At 37.7% G+C, this 21,129-nt stretch overlaps 1 protein-coding gene across 10 annotated transcripts in view; it reads right to left on the bottom strand.

Moving 5' to 3' along the window:
- The window catches only part of TMEM117 (transmembrane protein 117), a 603,307-nt gene that overhangs the window by 16,755 nt on the left and 565,423 nt on the right, over positions 1–21,129 (bottom strand). For 9 of the 10 annotated variants that reach the window (XM_047429662.1, XM_047429665.1, NM_032256.3 and 6 more), the window contains one exon: positions 5,630–5,759. The exons of the other annotated variant lie outside the window; for it this stretch is intronic. In XM_047429662.1, coding sequence (XP_047285618.1) covers positions 5,630–5,759 — 130 coding nt within the window. The remainder of the gene's footprint in view (positions 1–5,629; positions 5,760–21,129) is intronic. 10 annotated transcript variants of the gene reach the window in all.

Genomic DNA, 21,129 nt, shown 5'->3' with positions numbered 1-21,129 from the left:
TGTGAAAAGCAAAATGTTCATGTTTCAAGGATTATGAATAATTATATATTTCGAGTCCTTCCTCTGGCTCTGAAGTCAATTCCTAAAGGGCATGTAAGTTTTATTACAAAGGTGCTCATGTATGTACAAATGAAGACAGGATACCTCAGGGTGGGCAGGGCAGAAACTCAGGGCCAGCAAGAACTGACAGGCCATGGGCAAAATGATGGCCCTGAAGAAGATGAGTTTTGGACAAATAAAAGGAATTGCTGCTTTATATAGAAGTAAACATAGTTAACTCTTAAGAGCTGAAAATGAAAATTGCTTGAGGAAAGGTTTGGAAAAATTCACAACTGAGAGAGGAGCAAGAGGTCTTTGTGTACTTTGGATAAATTCATGATCTTCGGGGACTTTCTTTGTATACAGGATGCAACACATTTCCTTATAACGAGTCCCTTGCTAATTTTGCCAGACAGAACATTCTGCTGGAGGAACCACTGGCTGTCCCCTCCCCAGCCTTCTCATGGCCTGATTCATACAGGAGAGCTCTTTAAAAAAAAACAGTCTCTGGGAACTCATTTGCTAGAAATCATGCACCTATGAAAATAAAATCCTTCATTTTTACTCATTATTTTCCACATTCTCACCATTGTAAAACACCTGTACCCTCACACAACACAGGAAACTGAAATAGAACAGACACTATACAGGCTTGTTTACTTCTACATGTTCCATTTTTGCCAAAAGGGTTCCCGTGGGCATCATCGTGCCAACAGTGTGAATTCTTTTCTCAAGGCTGCACAGGCCTTCCTTCTGGCCTTTTGCCCAACCCCCTCCTAATTTACTCAGATGATGGCCACCAATGGGACACTTCCTTTGGCTGCGATGACAGATGGCAGAGCTTCCACCGGGATTGGCATTAATAGGACTCAGAGGAGCTTCCGAGACTGAATTGAGAGGCCATTCCTCTCTCACCTCCAGAGATTTAGTACATCGCATTTTCAATCCATCTATGCACTTACCTTACAGGTAAAGGGGAAGAGGGCAGAGAAGATCATTATACAGTTGCTTTTAGGGTTTACTTTTAGGAGGAGAACAATGAACTTGGGCTAAAAGTACCAGTGTGACTTAATCACTAACCATTTATTCCCTTTGTTACTGAAGCCCATATTCTAAGAAAAAATATATTTTAAAACACTCTTGGATAGAAATGATTTATTTTTATAAGCTGTAGCCCAGCTTATAAAATGAAAGCTCATACATACTGCAGCAAGCCATCTGTCAAGGGGGATCCAGATGAGCTAAACAGATGCAACAATTCAAGTTATTTCTGACATGCATAAATAAAACTAGCTTGGAATCAGGATTAAAAAAATACTCAAATCCTATATGCTTTTAAAATGTCAGTGGGAACTCATCAGTGTCATAACCCTCTACATACAGAATATTTCATTGGGAGAGAGAATTTTGCATTCTTAGCTTTCTCCTTTTTAAGGACTCAGGACAGCAGATAACAGTAGAAAACTCAGAATAGTGGGTAAGTGGCAAGAGGGCACCCTCTCAAGCTACCCAACATTTCTGAATTAAATAGGAAAGACAATCTCTGGCCAGATGAAAGGAAAAGCTTTAAGTAAAAAAACAGTGAAAGCTTACTGAATGCTTACTACATGGCAGGCAGCGTCATAAGTGCCTTACATATATTAATTTAATTCTCACAACAACCCTATGGGATAAGTATTATTACTGTGCCCATTAAATAGACGAGAAACTGAGTCTCTGAAGGGCTAAGGAACTCGATGAGGACCAGACCACCAGTAAGTAGCAAAGCTAGAGCCCATGTATCCAACCTCTTTGCTCCATTGCTTCAGTGTATGCTGGATGTCTTTTCTAAATCATAGGGACATGGTAGATTGGGGCCAAGTGGAGTCAACTTTTGACTCAGGAGACCTTTCACAGTCCTTGTCCAGGCTCTTCTAGTGCAGAACAAACAAAGCAGATAAAGCAAAAGAGGGAGCCGTCTGGGGTTCTACAGGTTCCCTTCCCATCCCTGGCTCCAGCTTCCTCTGTGGTCACTCAGACCAGCACCTTTCCCCAATCATAGTCTCCTCTGCTGGCCCCAGCTCTAAAATTTCAGCTCCTAGGAGGATTCTACCATGTGCCTTTCTCCCTGGTCATCCCACTGCTATTGAATTTGCATTCTACCCCTTGGCTTTTGATTTTAACAGTTGCATATGAAAACAAATTAAAGCTGAGATAAGAGGAATTCTAACTATAGAAAATGTCTCTCAGCAGCAGCATGTCTCAAAGAGCAGTCCTCTGCCAGCCAGCAGACGTATCACTTGCCATGCTTGACAGAAGGGTGGATTCCAAGTCTGCTGCATACCTCAGGCATCAGATTCTGGAGGTGTGGCTAATGCAGCTGTCTTTTAAATAAGTTCTCCAGGTGATTCCAATACACATTAACGTTTGTCATCCCCTGACGGATCTAGAGGGTTTTATGCTTAATAACCCCAGTGGTGACACTGTATTTAGTTATCAAGAAAAGCACTGAAGTCTCCATAAAAAAAGTACCAGGGCTCGGAGGAGCTGATCAGCAAGCTAGAATTTGTAGTTCACATGGAAATTTGTAGGCTGCTAACTATTGAGAATATTGAAATGCAGCATGTAGCACAGTATTTTGGAAATTTTACCTAGTTTTCCACAGAAACAATTGTCTTACAAATGTAGTCAGGTAAAGTAAAAAGCCCTTCACAGAAGACTAGATGCTACTCTGGGGTGGCCTCAGCAATCTCTTCAGCCAATTAACAAAACAGAGAGAGTAAAAGAAACAGAACAAAAGCAAGAGAGAAAAGCTCAGACTGCTTCAACCTCCAAACCTGTGCCATTTTCCCAGTTATTTTTATCATGGCTATGTGGATGCATGTGAACAAACTGGGTTTATCACAAATTGGATTTAATTTGTTTATGGTGGAACCCTTCACTCCAAAGTCCTCACCTACCCTATTTTAGCTTATTTTTTGAGACAGGATCTGGCTCTGTTGCCCAGGCTGGAGTGCAGTGGTGCCATCATGGCTCACTGCAGCCTTGACCTCCTGGGCTCAAGAAATCCTCCCACCTCAGCCTCCCAAGTGGCTAGGACCACAGGTGTGTGCCATCATGCCAAACTTCCTTCCTTCCTTCCTTCCTTTCTTCCTTCCTTCCCTCCCTCCTTCCTTTCTTCCCTCCCTCCTCTTTCTTCCTTTCTTTCTATTTTTTTTTAGAGATGAGTTTCCCTATGTTGCCCAGGGTGTCTCAAACCCCTGAGTTCAAGTGACCCTCCTGCCTTGGCCTCCCAAAGTGCCAGGACTATAGGTGTGAGCCACCACGTTCAGCCCCTTATTTTATTAATATTTTGAATTTAAGCTCCAGAATCCTCAAAAGCCTTTTTGGCAAGTCCAGACACCCAATTGTTTGCATGGCACATTTCAGGGAGATGCTCTGATCTCATCTGTCATCTCTCAATCAGAAAGGAGACATCCCCAATTATCAACATCACTTGGGGGAGCTTTCCCAAAGTTCGATTCTCTGGCCCTCACCCAGACCTACTGGATCAAAACATTAGTAATGAAACCCAACAATCTGTGTATTTATAAAGTTCCCTGATGACTTGGCCATCAGCATCATATGGCAAACACTGCACCAAAGCCTTAATTACAATACATTACCACCTTCGGGCAAACCAGATTAATATGTAGTCTCTGCTATAAAAGTTGAACTAGTCTTTCATCCTTTTAGGTTTTCAGAAAATAATTCTTGGTGGGAAGAGGGTTTTAGTTCAAATGGAAGTCATGTATCTGCTTCTATCTAAATGCACAGTAGGCTTTACCTCAAAGTTAATAACACTGAAGCTTTAGGGACTCTGCATGCATAGCCCCCTTCCGAGGCACTGAATATAATTTTGAGATGTAATTTTATATTCATCTTCTTAAACAGAGTATTCCACATTGTGTAAACTCTGGACACCACAAATCTGAAATCTGTACCATCTATAAATGACAATGTAAATGATAAAGTTATACAAAATAATCCTAAATTAAATATTTTTAGCAGCTCATTTTTTTTCTTACCAATGGGCTCTCCATTTTTTTTTCCTTTTTTAACCTGAAGTTCTGTACTTAAGCAGGATATTTTTGACAAGGCATTCTTATAGTCAGAGACAATATTAGTGTAATGATGGCCTGGGACAAGAGCTGGTAGCAAGAACAGATGGTCTACGCAAAAGCCCCCCCCAAAGGGATATGATGATGCCATGTGTGTGATAGCTGTTTTAGAAGTCCAAGAGGGTAGCATGCTGCAGAGATTAAGTGGGGACTCTGAAACCAGACTATGTGACCTGAACTCAAATTGATTGATTTACCCAGTGAATTTAATAGATGGGCCTCATTCATTTTGAATAGGAAAAGAAACCTGCTGCATCTTCCCTATTCATGAGCTCATTCTCCAATTTAGGAAGGTCGCCTCATGCTTAAAGCAAAAAACAGCCTCCTAGCTGGGAAGCAAAGGTTTATTGCAGTACTCAGATGTTAATGTTTTCTGGGCTCAGACTATTTTTATTTGGCAGCACAGACGGTAGTGTAAGCACAGATTTCTTCAGCAGATTTTATTATAGCAGGTGTGGGATCCTAGGCCATTGTCCTTAAAACAGACACACACTCATTACCTGCATTTGAACAGCTTTGGAACTAATGCCATCCTTTATCTGTGATCATTCAGCTGTCTGCTTCTTGTCATAAAGAAAGACAGATATAAAACGTAGCTCCGGGAAGCCCTTTTTAGATGAGAATGACTGATATGTCATGAAAGGATATTACAATAAATCATATTTTAGCCATTTCAAAAGCAGAAAATATCTGAAAATAAAATAATCTGAAGATCCACAAGAGAATCACTTAAGACAAACCTGAGCTTTGCCACAGAAGTAGGTTTTCAGAAAATCAAATGAGAAGTGGCCTAACTCCCTAAAGACATATGTTCTGATTGGGGCTCTAGGATACCATTGTTTTAATTTCAGCAACAAATGAAGAACAAGAGCATAAAGAATATAACATTGAAAATAGATACTGAGTTCTATGTGGTGAAAAACCCATCCAATGAACAAGATCAAGGTAGAGTGGCATATGGAGTATGGCAGAAATGACTCTCCACAGCAAAGATTTGTCTTCCCTCTTTGATAATCCTATACTAGAATACCAGATCTGACACCAGAAGTGGCTGCTCAGCTAAGGACTACATTTCCTTGCTCTCCCTGACTCTAAGTAGGGCTATGTACCAGTTATCATCAATGGAACATGAGGAAAGGTGACATATTTCTTTTCCAAGCCCAAGAGATTACGGAACAGACAAGCCTTCTTAATCACTTTCCCCATTCTCTGTATTTCCATCTGCCTGCTGGATGCTAACACTGAAATTGTCAAAGCCACCAGTAACTTAGGTCCCAGAATGATAGTACAGAGCCCCTTGTTGATCTGAAAACCACCTTGCACTGTTAAGTGAATGAGAAATAACATTGTATTTATGCCTCTCAAATATTATGGCTTGCTTTTTACAGCAACTAGCATTACCCTAACTAATGTACGAAGATAATCAAATTGTGTTCAAAGATATAACACACCTGTTATGTGAATACGATATTCCTCCTTGAAGATTTTCTGGAAGAAAGGAATCTTGAACTGCATGTGAGGGGTGTGCAAACCAGGGAGATTTACATCAACATCTCCCATGAAATGTGGGAATTCCCAGTCCTGTCAGAGAAAATCAAATAAAAACATTTGTGATTCGTTTCATTCCTAAGCAGCAAAACACCAAAAATTGACTTTTTATAAGCACTTATTTTAAAATCATTTAAATGCAGCCAGCTGTTGGATATATCAGTTTCATTCTGTGATGGTTATTTTATGTACATTAGGTAGCAGTATGCATTCAAAATCAAAATTAAGTCATAACTTATATCTTCAGATTTTCTTTTTAATGTGGTAATAAGAAACCAATACAGAATTGATTTGCATCTACACATGTTTATCTCTTTCATTCTGGAGAACTGCACTTAAATGTTTTTAGGAAGGAAGTGATCCCTATTTAATAAATATGGGGTAAATTTGTTATATTTTGTTTCATGACTTTTAAAAAGTATGAACCTTATAGCATGTTTTCTGTAAGAAGACAAAGTAAAGAGGATCTGATTCACTTAACCAAGTTCTTTGATTTGTATCAAGTGACTTTTATTAATCATGTCTACTGGCAACCATCCGGAATGTAAAAATGACAGGCTCCTGTCCTGCTCTCTTGCAATTCAGCATCAGTTTGAGCCAAATAATGGAAGACCTGACATGGTAGCATGAGGGATCAACAGTGAATTAATTCCATGTCATTAGATATTTCCTGGTTGTCAAGGCAAAACTGGGTGGGCCAACCCTCCTTCTCTGAAGGAAGGGAAACAGATGCAAATGAGGATATTTTTAGGTGTCTCACCTCCTCTTGGTTTTCAGATAGAGGCACCAAAGTAAAGTTCAAAACTAGCATGTGAAGAAAGAATACACAAAACTTGAAGAAACATTTGAGATAGATCCATAGACATTAGTATACACATTTTCACTTGTAACACCTAAATAATCACCAAATAATCAGTCCTATATTTAGTTAATATTCTTTAAAGAATTTGAATATGAAAAAGTCAGAAACAAAATATTAATTTGAGATTTTGATCTATTACATCAATATAAAGAAATTAAGTCTATTTGAGATTTTTATATATGCAGCTGAGAGGGATGTGCTAGTAATATAGTGCCTAAACTTTTTAGAGGTTTCCATGTCTATTCCACTGTCCTCTCTGTTGGGAGCTCTGGTTAAGAGAGAATGGGCCTTGAAGAAGACAATATGTGAGTGGCAATAACGAGGAAAGCCTGCAATGTCTACCAGTTTCCGGATCTATGGATCATTTCAAGCTGCTAAAAAGAAATAAATATACAAGAAGTAAAACAGAACGATGCAACATTATCCCTTTCTATCAGGGTACATGTAAATCTCTTGTTGGTCTCACCTCCACTTGTCTTTCAGACATCAGCAGCAAATAGACAGGTAATTTGGGAGGTTCATAAAACCCAACGCACTAGAGCTGAATTAATTTGGCACATTTTGATCTAAAATATTATGACTTAAGATGCATTAAAGGAGGTAGAAGATGCAGAAGATGCATCGGTGATAACACATGTGAACTATTGCTGAGGTTAACGTGCATTTGCCTTTTATTTTCCACTAATGCCACCTTTGTTCTTTCTATGTTGCTTGGAAGACGTTTGCAATAATAATAATAATAATGATAATAATAATAGACATTGAATTTAGTATTTTGCTAAAATATAACTCATGAAAAATTATGCTTGACAAAGAAAATGACTGATAACCAGAATACCTTTCACTTGCCCTGCATAAATGACACGAAGCATTATCAATAGCGCACTTCTCTTTTTATTTCTGGGTTTAAGGAGGAGAAGATTTCTTGGTAGTAATTGGGCAAGTGTATTCAGAACCGGCTTCTTTTTAGAACGACACTTTTGAATGCTCCCATTTAGCTTTTCCTTCAATGAAACTAAAGTTTTCTATTGGGTATGAAATTGGTTTTAGTTTGAAAGCAATCTCTAGAGATTTCTTGTAGACTATGATAAAAATCTCATACACACACATACACACACACACACACACACACACACACACACACACACAAATAGTTCCTTGATTATTTCCCACCTGTACTTTCACAGAGAAAGATAAGTTACGGAAATGAAGGGTAAAGGAAAGAGGGGGAAGAACAAGTCTTAGTTTTTATCTGGAAGATTACTTTACTTTTTTGTATTTTTTTAAAGAAAGGGCTCAGAGAAGGTAGTTTGGGCCTGGGGGTGTGAAGTGTGACAGAAGCAGGTGGTGCCATGTAAGAATTTTTTAAAAGAAGATAAATAAAATAGATGATGACTCATTCATAAAGTCTTTCATATCCATCCTTTCTATTTTACTTTTTATAATCAAGATTTTGTTTTTCCAAACCTCTTTTACTTAATCTCTTAAAGCCTTGCCTCCATTCTCTCTCTCTACTACTCTGATTTTTACATTTCAATTCCTACTCTAGATACCTCTTCAGACTCATCATTCTCGAGTGAGTGTAAACTCTGGCCTAATTTGACTTGGAGCAGAAAAGTAATAATGATAATTGCTAATGTTTTGCAGAACATGTGGTGCTCATTTAATAGAAAATGGACATCCTGGCCAGGCGTGTTGGCTCACCCTGGTAATCCCAGCACTTTGGGAGACAGAGGTGGGCAGATTACCTGAGATCAGGAGTTTGAGACCAGCCTGGCTAACATGGTGAAACCCCATCTCTACCAAAAATACAAAAATTAGCCAGGTGTGGAGGCATGTGCCTAAAATCCCAGCTACTCTGGAGGCTGAGGCAGGAGAATTGCTTGAACCCGGGAGACGGAGGTTGTAGTGAGCCGAGATCGCACCACTGTACTCCAGCCTGGGTGACAGAGCGAGACTCCATCTCAAAAAAAAAAAAAAAAAAAAAAAAAAAAGGAAATGGACATCCTAGGCTGGTGAAACCTCAGGTATTTAAAGGAGGTAGAAAGCAGAGAGATTTGGGACGGTATTCTGAATCTATCTAGGTTCCAGTCTCTTCATCTATAAATTGGTGTTAAATATGTCAGCCTCACAAGCTCCCTGGGAGGATGAGATAACATTAGCACATTACTGGAGACAGAGGTGAAAGACAGGTGAATGTCCAACAAAAATGGTTTATTTCCTGGCATAATTTCAAGGTCAAGTTTATCCTGACAGTGAAGCAAAGGAAGTGGATAGGTATGTTTCCAGGAGGGTCACACATTGGCTGTTTCAAGGTCCAGGAGAAAAAGGAAGAAAGTCGTGTTCTCCTTTCTGCCCTTATCCATTGCAGAGCACTGGCCCCCTGGGGCCTTTGCCCAGGACTTGGGCCAGAGCACAGTCCTCCCAGAGGGCACCTGGAACAGGGCTGTTGAGAAGGGCACCTCCCTCAGAGACATGTAACCATTAGTTTCATGAAGACAGAAGAACAGGAGCTTACTGGTTTCTTGTGCAATGTGGGTCACACTGTGTGTGAAAGACTTTAAGTGTGAGGGAGACACTGCTGCTATGCAGGTGGGAGGGAGAGTCAGCAACATGTGTAACTGATGGCAGAGGAAATCTGTGGACATTTGGGTTATAAATTATGGAGCACCTGCAACGTTCTATTATAATCCTAGGCTGTATATTCCTGTATATACTTATATACAAAACCATCCTAGTTGCTATTATTAGCCCATTTTTTACTGAAGTATAATTGACAAATAAAAATTACATATATTTAAGATCACAATGTGATGTCTTGATATATGCATACATTATAAAATGATAACCACAATCAAGCTAATTAACACGTCCACCTGCAGATGTGAACATCTGCCTCAGGAAAGTTGTCACTTGTCCAAAGTGACATAGGTGCCATGCAGCAGAGCTGAGGTTTTATCTGGCTCCAAAGAATACATACTTTCTGCTAGGTCATGCTGCCTTTAACTATGGAAAGTGACATCATTTCCTGCTTTTAATTAAGAACTGGAATTATTTTTACCTGCTCTATGTTTTCTAATTGAGAATCACTGAAGGCAGTCATCACCAAAAGCCAGTTCCATGAGAGGCTTTAAACTATTTTCTTTCTTTCTTTTGTTTTTTTTTTTTTCATCACAGGGATGTCATTTGATTCATACTATCCGGATGTAAACAAGAAGACCAACTTTAACATTTTCTTCAAAAAACAACTGCCCCAGGGATAGTTGGCTTCTAATCAGACTCTGATGAGTGGAGAGATTTGACTAATGGGTGATTCATAGCAAACACTGAGATTCTCCTGGCATCATAACTATGGATGTATAGCCAGTTTTATATACAGATTGTATAGAAGTGTTATGAGAGTCATGGCTTTCTTTCCTTCTACATAAATGTAAAATATATATTTTGAACACAAGATAAAAATGTTGAATTAAGGGAATGACGAGGCAAGAGGTGTTCAGCTACAAAGCCCATGGTAGAGAGGCTAATCCTGGGATTGTATATTATGAAATATTCATTTATTTTGTTCTTTAAGAAGTGTTATCAGTGTTTAGTAATTCAAAGCTTTCTTATCGTTCTCTGCTATTAAATCTTACAATAACTGCAGAGGTCTATCAGATTTGTGGTTCAGTGATGTGAGAATTACTTAGGCACAAGGTATTACGCTACTCCAATTCTCATCAGTTCAAGGTAATGTTCACAGTGTGAACAGACTCCCAACTTTGCATCTTGCTTCATATATGACAAACAGTTAATTTTTATTCATATGGGTGTATTTCCCATATAAAAATAAAAGGACAGTGTCATGACATATATCTAATCTTATTTTTTACATATATGGATGGTTTACTTTTGCCTATGCAATGAAAATCAGTTACTGATCCCTATTATTCATGAGCCACAATAGACACAAAATTTCAGTTCACTGTTAAATATGTAGGCAAGATCGTCTCAGGATATCTTGGATTCATAATTTCCCTATGTTTTCTCATTGAGACCCATGCCTCAGGGTCAAGGAAAATAATTTGGTACTATTCAGGGAAACTCAAACTTGAAACCAACACTGTTTTGAATTCCCTGACTGGCATTCAATTTCCCAAATTAAATGAAGAGACCTCACTTCTATTTAGAGAAGTGTTAGAGGATAAAAATGTAATGATACTGATTACCCTACCCTGCGAAACTAAAGCCATAGTATCAGAACAAAAGTTGCATTTTCTAGGCTAAAAATTAGCCACCTGATTTATGAGGAAATTAAGAGATAGATTAGATTAGATTTTAGTGAAAAGCTATAAATTCTTAAATGTTACTATAAAATACCAACAGTTTTTCAATGTAATAATTTGTATATCTTCTTTTTATAGGCATTAGATTATTAAGCTTGAATGATATCAAAAGTCAACTTTACAGATATATTTATTTCTTTCTATGTTAATCTCTATGCCCCGTATTTCATAACTGAATTTAGATCTATGAATATCATAACATCATTCTACCAAAAACTTCCCCAGCTTGTAAAGTGTCCTTAGCTTTGCTATGCTTAGCAGTGTCCTAGCAACCGAATTTCAGATGACAGTGAGCAGTGGTGGCCTGAAGAATTGTACTCAGGCTTTGGGTGATATTTTTGTTTCTTATTAAGAAACCTGAGTGCCTGATTTCTTTCAGCAACACTGTACTTCTTCTAATTGGCAAAGTTGTCCTAGTATCACTTGGCCGAATAAATCCTTGGAAACCTTGACATACAGTAGATTTTGCTTATTTATTTGTTTATTAATGTAAGCTCCAGGGAGCTTAGAGGAATTTCTTTCTGTTTTGTTCACTGCTGAATTTTCTATGGCTGAAATAATGCTCAGTATATAGTAAGAACTCAAATATTTGTTGAATTGATGAATGGAGCTCTCTGAAGGTTAAAGATATATAACAATCCCCACCTGTAATCCCAGCACTTTGGGAGGCCAAGGCGGGCGGATCACTTGAGTTCAGGAGTTCGAGACCACCCTGGCCAATGTGACAGAAATCCGTCTCTACTAAAAATACAAAAATTAGCCAGGCATGGTGGCTCATGCCTGTAGTCCCAGCTACTGGGGAGGCGGAGGTAGAAGAATCACTTGAACCCAGGAGGCGGAGGTTGCAGTCAGCCGAGATTGCACTACTGCATTCCAGCCTGTCCAGCCTGGGCGACACAGTGAGACTCCGTCTCAAAAAAAAAAAAAAAAAAAAAGAATCTCTGTGGTTTCACATAAATGGAAACACAGGATGGATATAAGTAAACAGAAACAACACAATAAATACTTGTTTTTGTAAATAAACGTTATACATCATCTTACATTAATTATTATTAAAAATTGGTTGTCTTATTTTTTTCCCTATAAACTAGGTGTACTGGAATTATACAGAGAGTGAAACAAAGATTGAGCCATTTGTCATTGATCACAGAGGAAAGGAGTGGACAATTAGAGAGAGTGGAAGTCATTGTAAATATTGTGAGAAGAGGCAGTAAATGTTTGGAGAGTTGATTAAAAATGTTTGTTGGGTTGAACCAAGTCACCCTTTTAGTCATCATGTAAATACAAAGAAGTTCATGAGACATGTCTAACCAAGTGAGAGAACAAGGAAAGAGAATGTAAACCAACATGTGATTTTAAAGGTTGGGGGATCATTTCACATAGCGGATGACAGCAGGAGGAGCATTAAGGCAAGGTTGAATGTTAAGAGATGCCCTGCCATAAATTTGAAGGATGAACAATAGAGACATTGCAGGAGGTTACTTCCTAGATGTCCTTTGACAACTCCCCTTTTCTCTTATGTTGTATTCTCACTTTCTCTTAATATTCACTGTTGTTTTTCCCTTCAAGGGCAAATTAATTCTATAACTCTTTGGAGTTTTCTCTCAGGAGGAACTTATGCTATTTAAAGAATTTAAAATCTGTGGAGAAAAATCTAGACTTTCTGGTTCAAGTAGGCTTTTTTCAACAAGTAGTAAAGATGGCATACCTCATTCATCACTAAAACAGATCCAAGTCAAACTGTAAACCCTTATTTGAAATGTTGTTAAAAACTTCACTTTTTTATGTGCTTTTGTGTATTCTAATACAGCAATGAACTCTCAAAATTGTTGTTGCTCAAGCAATTTAATTATCCTAAGGATCTATTTTATAGGATTGTTTAATATCTTTTATTCATCAATCATTTTTCTTACTTGCAAAGGCCAATATGAATTTTCCTGGAAAATTCTGAAGTCAACATATATAAATGAAATATAAGTAATAGTTTAGTGCCTATAGAAAAAGCAAATAAGTCAAGCCCAGAAGAGGCCTGAAAAGTAAGTATATAGTCTGTTACTTTTCAGAGGCCTTGCCTTGAGGCTTTGGCAAGATAGCAGCGGGTTTTTAAAACAAACTTCATTACACCTAGACACCTTGAAAACATCATTCCTTTAAGTGTCAAGGTAGAAATGTGTCTGATGAAACGCACTGGGCCTCATTTAAAGACATCTTGCCCTGGCAGACTGATGTGATGAAGGACAAAATATAAGTCAGTCTTATAAGTGTTTACAACGAATAGAAATGCATCATGTGGCATCTAGGAATAATGGAAAATCAGTACTCCTTCACTAGGCAAATATAGTTAACCAGTACACAGGAAAGAGTGCTTAACATCTTAAAGACACCAATAAAAGGGGAAAGAGGGTACAAATAACTAGCTCTGAAGAGTTGCTGATAACTAAAGTTAGTGCAAAGTCTAAAGAAACACACTCAATGATAAGTCATCTTAGATCATCTTCATCAGTTATCAAACAACTTGATCTAGTGGGCAGTTCTTAAGAAGAATGAAAGTTAACTATATAAATTGGCATATTTCTTACTCAAATGCATGTTCCTCCAATAAGGAATGAATGAAATCTAGTGGAACAAAGTTATTAGACAACATATTTGTGTTCTTGTTCAGGCTCTGGCTACAGTTCAATAGCACATAGCTCCTACTTATTTGGTGCTTTATTATATTTGCATATTTGGTACAAAATGTCACTGCTCCAGTATCTGTTCTGGCTCCGCACATGCTGCCAGGAATGGTCACATTCAATTGTCTGAATGACTAATTTCTCCTATGGGCTATATAGGAAAATTAATTGCATACTGTCAAAAGTAGGTATTATTGTCCTTGGTAACATTTTTATTTAATATTGAGGTCATTTTTCTCCATGAAAAAATAATGATGATGGAGATCAGTGGGAAAATGTGATTCAGTATAAAAATATTCACTTTACAAATAATGGAGAGAGTACAAGGTTGATCTAAATATTAGATGGTGGGTAGAGGTGAATGACCTCCAGAGTTCTTCACAATGGTTTCAGTTCTATGATTATATGTTTTTTCTGGAATGTCTTATGGAGGATATATTCTATTTGGGGAGACAGACCAAACAGAAAATAGCAAGATAATGTGAAGTCAAATAGTGATAAGTGCTCTGAAGCAAATAAAGCAGAGAAGGGGGATGGAGAATAGTGAGTTGGGTGTGGCTTCTATTTTAATTATTAAAAAGAAAACTTCTCTGAAGATGACCTTTGTGTGGAGTACTGATTGATATGAAAGAGGAAGCCCTGAGAAGCTCTGGAGGAGGATCATATCAGCTAGAGGAAAGAGCAAGTACAAAGGCCCTGAGGAGGAAATGAGATGATTGTATTGAAGAAACAGCAAGGTAACAATGGTCACGGGAGCGTGAGAGATGTGGACAGTTATAAACTGACTGTAGGAGGGGTAAAAATCTATTAGGAGACTGTTGCAGTAGTTTAGGTGTGAAATGACAGCCATTTAAATAAGGGTGGCCAGGTGGTCGGATCAAGGTGTATTTTGAAGGCATCACCAACTGAATTTCTGAATGGCTGGAGCAACTGGTAAATGGTAATAGCATTTGCTGAGAAGGGAGACATTGGGGAACCAATACACTTGCAGAAAATAGAGAAGTGGGTAAGAAATCCAGAGAGCTCAGTATATGCTAATATGGCAGGGCTTATTAGATATCCAAGTGGAGGTATATTATGTAGGCAGTTGGGAATCTTTGGGGAGAGCACAAGGCTGGAGATACAGATGTGGACTCACCAGTCTATTGATCTAAGGCCACAGAATCGGATAAAATCATTTAGAAAGGGAGCATAGAAAGCCAAGAAAAGAGGCCAGGGACTGACTGAGGCACTCCCTCATTTATAAGCTGGAAGAGAATCCCATAAAGAAGACTGAAAAGAAATGGCATGCAATAGAAGAAGAACAAGAGAAAGTGGTGTCCTAGAAGCCAGGTAAAAAAGTGTTTCACAAGGGAAGGCATGATCAACTTGTGTCTAATGCCCCTGAAGGTTTAAGTAATAAAAAGACTGAATATTAACCATCAGATTTGGCAATATGGGGGTTGTTGATATTGATAAGACCTTTGAGCTCCTGAGGAAGCCGACATTGGGGACAAAGGCCTGATTAGAGTTGGTTCAAGAGAAAATGGGAGGTGAGAAGTAGAGGAAATAAATACAGAACTCTAATGAGGAGCTTTGCTGTTAGTTGAAGTAGGGTGAAGAGGCAGTAACTGGAGAGAGACTATGATTAGATTAGTTTCAAATAATTTTGTTAGCATAAAATAAGTTGAATTTTGGTAGAACAGAGGACTCTGACATGTGAGATTCCCTTTTAATATTTTCAGTAGTTTTTGCAAGGGCAAATGTTAAAAGCCAGTGTGCACCAATATGGATACACTGGTTGTTTACAGCTGGTGTCCATTCTGATTGGGCAGTATCTATTCTCTTTGGTCAGTACCACTGCTGTACCAGTAGTTAAATATTCTGACCAACACTCTTTGTGAAGTCAAGATGGCTGTTCTTCTAAAAAACAAAACAAAACTGGGTTAAGTTCACTGTGTCTTGAATGTAGCAGGCTTTTGGAAACAATAGGCTGGATCCTCACTGCTTTGTACCCAGTGTGGTTTCTTTCTGGTTTCATCTTTTTTAGTAAAGACTTCAGGTTCTGAAACAACCTCCATCTCTGACCCCTTTGGACCACCCAATGATAATATGTAACAGAAAGTAAAACCTTTAGAGCAATGGATTTGAACTGGCAGGCTTTCCATGCCTTTCTTCAATGAGGGTTAGGTCAAGAGCATTCATCCTCTGAGCTCTAGAGAAAAATTATCCATCCTCATGTAAGAGAGGAAAGACTAGGAAAACAAGATACACTGGAGCAGGTTAGAGGGAAGGAAAGAATAAAATACATTTTGCTGTTGGAGAATTATTTCCTCAGTGAATTGAAAAATTTTCTGAAACTATTGTTAGTCCAGAGGTCAATGGCCAAGAAAAGTCTAAAATACATTACTTTCCTTGTTGGACACCTATGGGAGAGAGATTCTATCATCCTCAGGGTCTTTTTGGAAAACAAGTCCACATGCTGGGGTAAAGAACCTTACATGTTTGTTAGCAGTTGCCTATCTTTATACCGACACAATCCATTCAAAGCCTGAGGTGGCTACAGCAAATATGTTTTATAGATTCCACATAGCATGAATAGAGTGAATGTGACGTCTACATTTCTCACAGAAGTTCCCAATGATACACTCAAGTTCCCCATAGGAGGGCATCACACTATTATTGAACTAATTCAACAGTTACTCAATGCTCACTAGATGAAAAACATCTATTCTCAAAGAATATAAAATAACATTGATAAATAAAGAATCAAATTAAACTCTTCCTTTTATAGTTACAGACAATGACAGTCAGTGAGGTTACAGGAATCCTCCCATATCATCCAAAAGATTACTGGTAGAGACCAGATGAAATTCAATCAGTAGCCCCTGAACTATATTCCAATACATTTCCCTCCACATTACTGAGGACTCTTCACAGCACACCAACATGGCACATGTATACATATGTAACAAACCTGCACGTTCTGCACATGTACCCTAGAACTTAAAGTATAATAATAATAATAATAATAAAAGAAAATCCTTTATAGGAGATTGACTGTATTTTCATATTCAATTCAGACTAAGCAAACAAACATTTGTCATGAATTTTCTCTGTGCCAGGCATTTGATATATTTAGTCTATTGTAAACCACACGCAAATATATATGGTAGGTAGGATTTTTCTTAATTTACATGGAAGTAAACTGAGGCTCACAGAGCAGTTAAATAGCTTGTCCAATGCTGCACAATTGATACCAAAAGGATTTGTACCCAGGACAGTCTGATTGAAAAGACTTCTTTTGTTTACCATAGTAAGATTTTTCATGACATTTTCCCCCATCAGGCCTAATATTGCAATTATCTACCCACTTTAAGCCCAACTATCATGCCGATATGCCCTTCTGTTTGATGCTAAATTATATCTGTAATGAAAGGTTGACTTTCAGTGGTATGTTGCAGCTGATCTTGAAATAATATTTTCTTAGGATTTTTTGCTACCTGGAGCACCTGGGGAGGGAATCCTGTCTAACACACATTGCAAAGTGAAGGAATGGAAGTGGTCCTATGTTTATCCTGCAAGTCATTGACAAAGCCTACAAAATATGCAGGCTGAGATATGCATTTAACTGTAGATGGTTTATGGCCATCTTAGAATTTTTACTGCCAATGCATAGATTTGGCTCTAAACTTATCATATTTCTAGTAATGAATACTATCTCCCTAACTTCTTTGCACTTCGCTTTTCTCACCTGAGGAGATTTTTCATCATGTGTAGGTACTCTGATATCAGATTCCTATATCACTGCATGGAAAAACAGAATGGCTTTTGAGATGATTTAGAGCCCACTAGTGATGGCTATCACTTCACAGCTTGCTAAAAAGACACAGCTTTTATGTTTCTTAGGAACTTATGTGATGGTTAAGATTTGTACTCCCAACATACTGCGGCTGTGCATATCATTAAATGGTAAAACTTTTATGTTACGTATATGACTTAAGGCAGTGCAAAAACACAAGAAGATCTATATGGGTAACAATAACATTTTTTGGCATAGAAACCTAACAAACTATTTTATCTTAAGTCTTCCTTGTTTGTATATCAATGGAGTGTTTAAGTTACTGTGTTACAAGAAGCCCTTCACTTAAAGGATTAATTCTTTTTGCTCATAATTATGATCAGAAGATGACACATTGCCTATAAATATAAAAATCATTAATCATTTTATTAAATATCCTTCTTTATATTTGATTTTAAATAGAATTGTCAATGTAACCTACATTAAAAACTAATCTGTAATGTTATTGTGAGGTTGAAGCTTCATATAATATCTCTGCAATATATCATATTTCTAATGAAATGTGTCATATTTAAAAGTATTACAAATTATATCCTTAGGCATATGTGGAAACAAAGTAACAGTGGAGTTCTGAAGGTGGTAAAAATTATCAGAAAATAATTTTATGCTACCTCAGTATAATATCTCATAAAATTTTTACTCATAAAAATTGGTAAACCCATGGTTCTGAAAATGGACTTTTAATGCACAGAGAGACTATATGGAAGCAATCGTAAAAACTAAACATAAAACATACAGTTTTGCCTTCAAGCAATGGATTGTACTTGGTGAACCATAGGTAAATGTGAAATTATTACATTTGCCAGTTGCCAAAGGCTTTGCTTTATGGATATCTGCAATGTTATATGCATAAATCAATTAATATGTTTTTCCCCATATAAACCCAGATACACTTGATTTATTGCCTCTTGCTGGAGGAGAAGCTGGCAAATCAGCATCATTATGAAATTGTTTAGGTGACAGACTATTCAGAAATCAGTTCTCTGAAGAAGGTTCCAAATTATTTTACAAATATATGATTTGTTGACTGCTCTCTGCCCCTAATTCCCAACTCAGAGATTCCTGGACTTTTAATACTATATATATCTTCAAATGAAAAATTCACTCTAACAACTACACACTCAAAACAAATACCTCAACTAATCATTTATCATCTGCCTTTCAATTAGCCTTAGCCTGAAATGGAGAGCTCTTCAAATCTCTTCTTTTAGAACAAAACATAGGAAGAACATTTGGGTGTTTTAATGTAAATACCTGCAAGGTATGCTAATTAACTCAGAATCAGTGAAAGATTTTTTTCAATTTTACTTCCTAAGCCTCAATTATATACAATGAGAAAGAATAATTATCATAATTAATGATTTTTCTTTTTCAAGTCAGTAGTTTATGATTAATCATGCCCTGACAATTATATATTATGATCAATTGGTTGCTCATGCAATAATCTAAAATAAAGAGATGTCCTTTAAAGTTACTTAAATGAAAGGAAATACATCTTCCTTTACTAATATGATTAAATATTTTGCTTGCCACCCTTCTAGCTGGGTACTGTAATTGATGCACTGTTCTAACAATGACCACTATTCAATGATCTCCCACATGTAGTAGATTCTGTACTAGGTGCAGCCTTTTACATATATTTCTTTGTTCTATTTTAAAAATGATACTACATGGCAGGTTTTATTTTTCTCATTTTGCAATTGGAGACACTGTGGCTCACAGAAGGCACCTGCCTTACCCACTGTAATACAGCTATAAATAGAAGAGTAAAAGCCAAACCTAGGTCTGTCCAGTCCCATGAGTGTTTTTGCATGATGGCAAGTAATTCAGCTTGTCCTGGCTCTAAATGACCTTACATTACTGTCTTGGTCTAACCATTGTTTCGTTTGTGTCTCTCATTAAACCACAGCTGGGTGTGGTGGCATGCACCTGTAGTTCCAGCTACTCGGGAGGCTGAGGATGGAGAATCACTTGAACCTGGGAGGCAGAGGTTGTAGTGAGCCGAGATCGCACCGCTGCACTCCAGCCTGGGTAACAGAGGGAGACTCCATCTCAAAACAAGCAACCAACCAAAAAAATAAAAAAAAAAAAGAAAAGGAAAGAAAAAAAGAAAAAGAAGCTGCCAAATTGTGTAGAGATGTTTGCCCACAGTTGTGTAGAGATAAAGTCTTCAGATTGCTCTTCTGGTTTAGTCCTTGTCACTTCTCTTTACTCTAACTATCTTTGATTTCCAACCATTATTTTTCATTGAAAATAGATCTTGCCTTTACCATCACAATTCTAAGCTAACACTTGTTTTGCTATCCTAGTTAACAACTAATCTCTTTCCTTTGCTTTTTTTTTTTAATTATTTTGTCTTTTATTTGTGCCATCACCTTTTATTTGCTAAATATTTGCACATTCAAGAACTGTTTGTGTCAGTCCCCCTACTAAGCCTTGATACAGCAATGAATCAGGTAGAAATGGCTCTAGGCTCTGTCCTCATGGGGTTTATAGTTTGAATATGGCATAACTACATACACAGAATAATTTCAGAAAATATTAGTGCTAGAGAGAAAATAAACCACGATAAGGATTGGGAGAAGCTACGTTAGATAGGGTAAGAAAAGACCTCTATGAGGTAAGAGCCTCTGCAGGGAAAGGGTACCAGGTGCTGTGATATGAGCTATGGTTGCAACCAGGACCAAAACAGATGGACAGAGGTTTACCATCAGGTCTGGTGGGAGTGACAGGTAAAAGAATGAGTAAAGAGCCAAATACGTGGTGATATGTTTTGCAAAGGAAATAAACTAGGGATTGAGAAAAGAAATAACAGAGGGCACCCTGCGAGGCATCTTGGAAGAAAGGACACCTAAGCTGGGGGATGAGGATGAGAATGATCTAGCCCTTGAAAAAGTAGAGAATATTGAGCAAAGCAAGTGCTCAATTACCTACTTCATGCCAGTGCTCTGCTAGATCTTAGAAATACAATGGTGAATGAAAACCCATGTGCACTCTGACTTTTTAGAGCACAGTCTAGAAAGGGAGTTGAACACTAATCAAACAATGATGGAAATAGACCTTAGTACTTCTCAGTTAACCTGTATGGCCATGCCTATCTATCACTCCCCTATCACAATGGCACAATTTTTTTTTGTGTATGTAACTCTTCTTGACTATTTTCCTAGTACCAGCACCAAAGAATCTTCTATTACAGCGTCACAACAGACTACCGTGTGGTGTTCATTAACTTCACATTTATGTATTAATTATACACTCCTTGAAGGTACACTTCTTTATGTCTCTCTCAGTCCTTAGCACAATAGTAGATGCGCGGTGGGAAGTAAAAACCATTTGGTTGTTTGATTATTCACCAATATTTAATAAGTGTTTACCATGTGCCAGAAACTGTGCAAGGCCTTGGAATACCAAAGACATCAATCAAAATTCTTGCCTCCAAGAAAGCTCATCCTCTAGTAGAAGAGGCAAACAAGTTAAACAATACTTACAGGATAATATGGAAGCATTGTATTAGTAATAGAGTCTTGAAAGAAGTTCCCTATGGACCCATTGGGGAATACATTCCTCATTCAAGCTCTGAGAGAATGAGTAAATTAACCAATCATTCTCTATCTTCCATTTTCTTGGTGACCACAGGTTGTTGAGAGTATGTAGCTCATCACTGTATTACAGGAGTAGGATGTAGCTGTATAAATTGCTC

The sequence above is a fragment of the Homo sapiens genome, chromosome 12 (genome assembly GCF_000001405.40).
Source record: "Homo sapiens chromosome 12, GRCh38.p14 Primary Assembly".
NCBI classification, from domain to species: Eukaryota; Metazoa; Chordata; class Mammalia; order Primates; family Hominidae; genus Homo; species Homo sapiens.
Note: the sequence above shows the minus strand (reverse complement) of the source record. Positions and strands in the feature narration are given on the sequence as shown.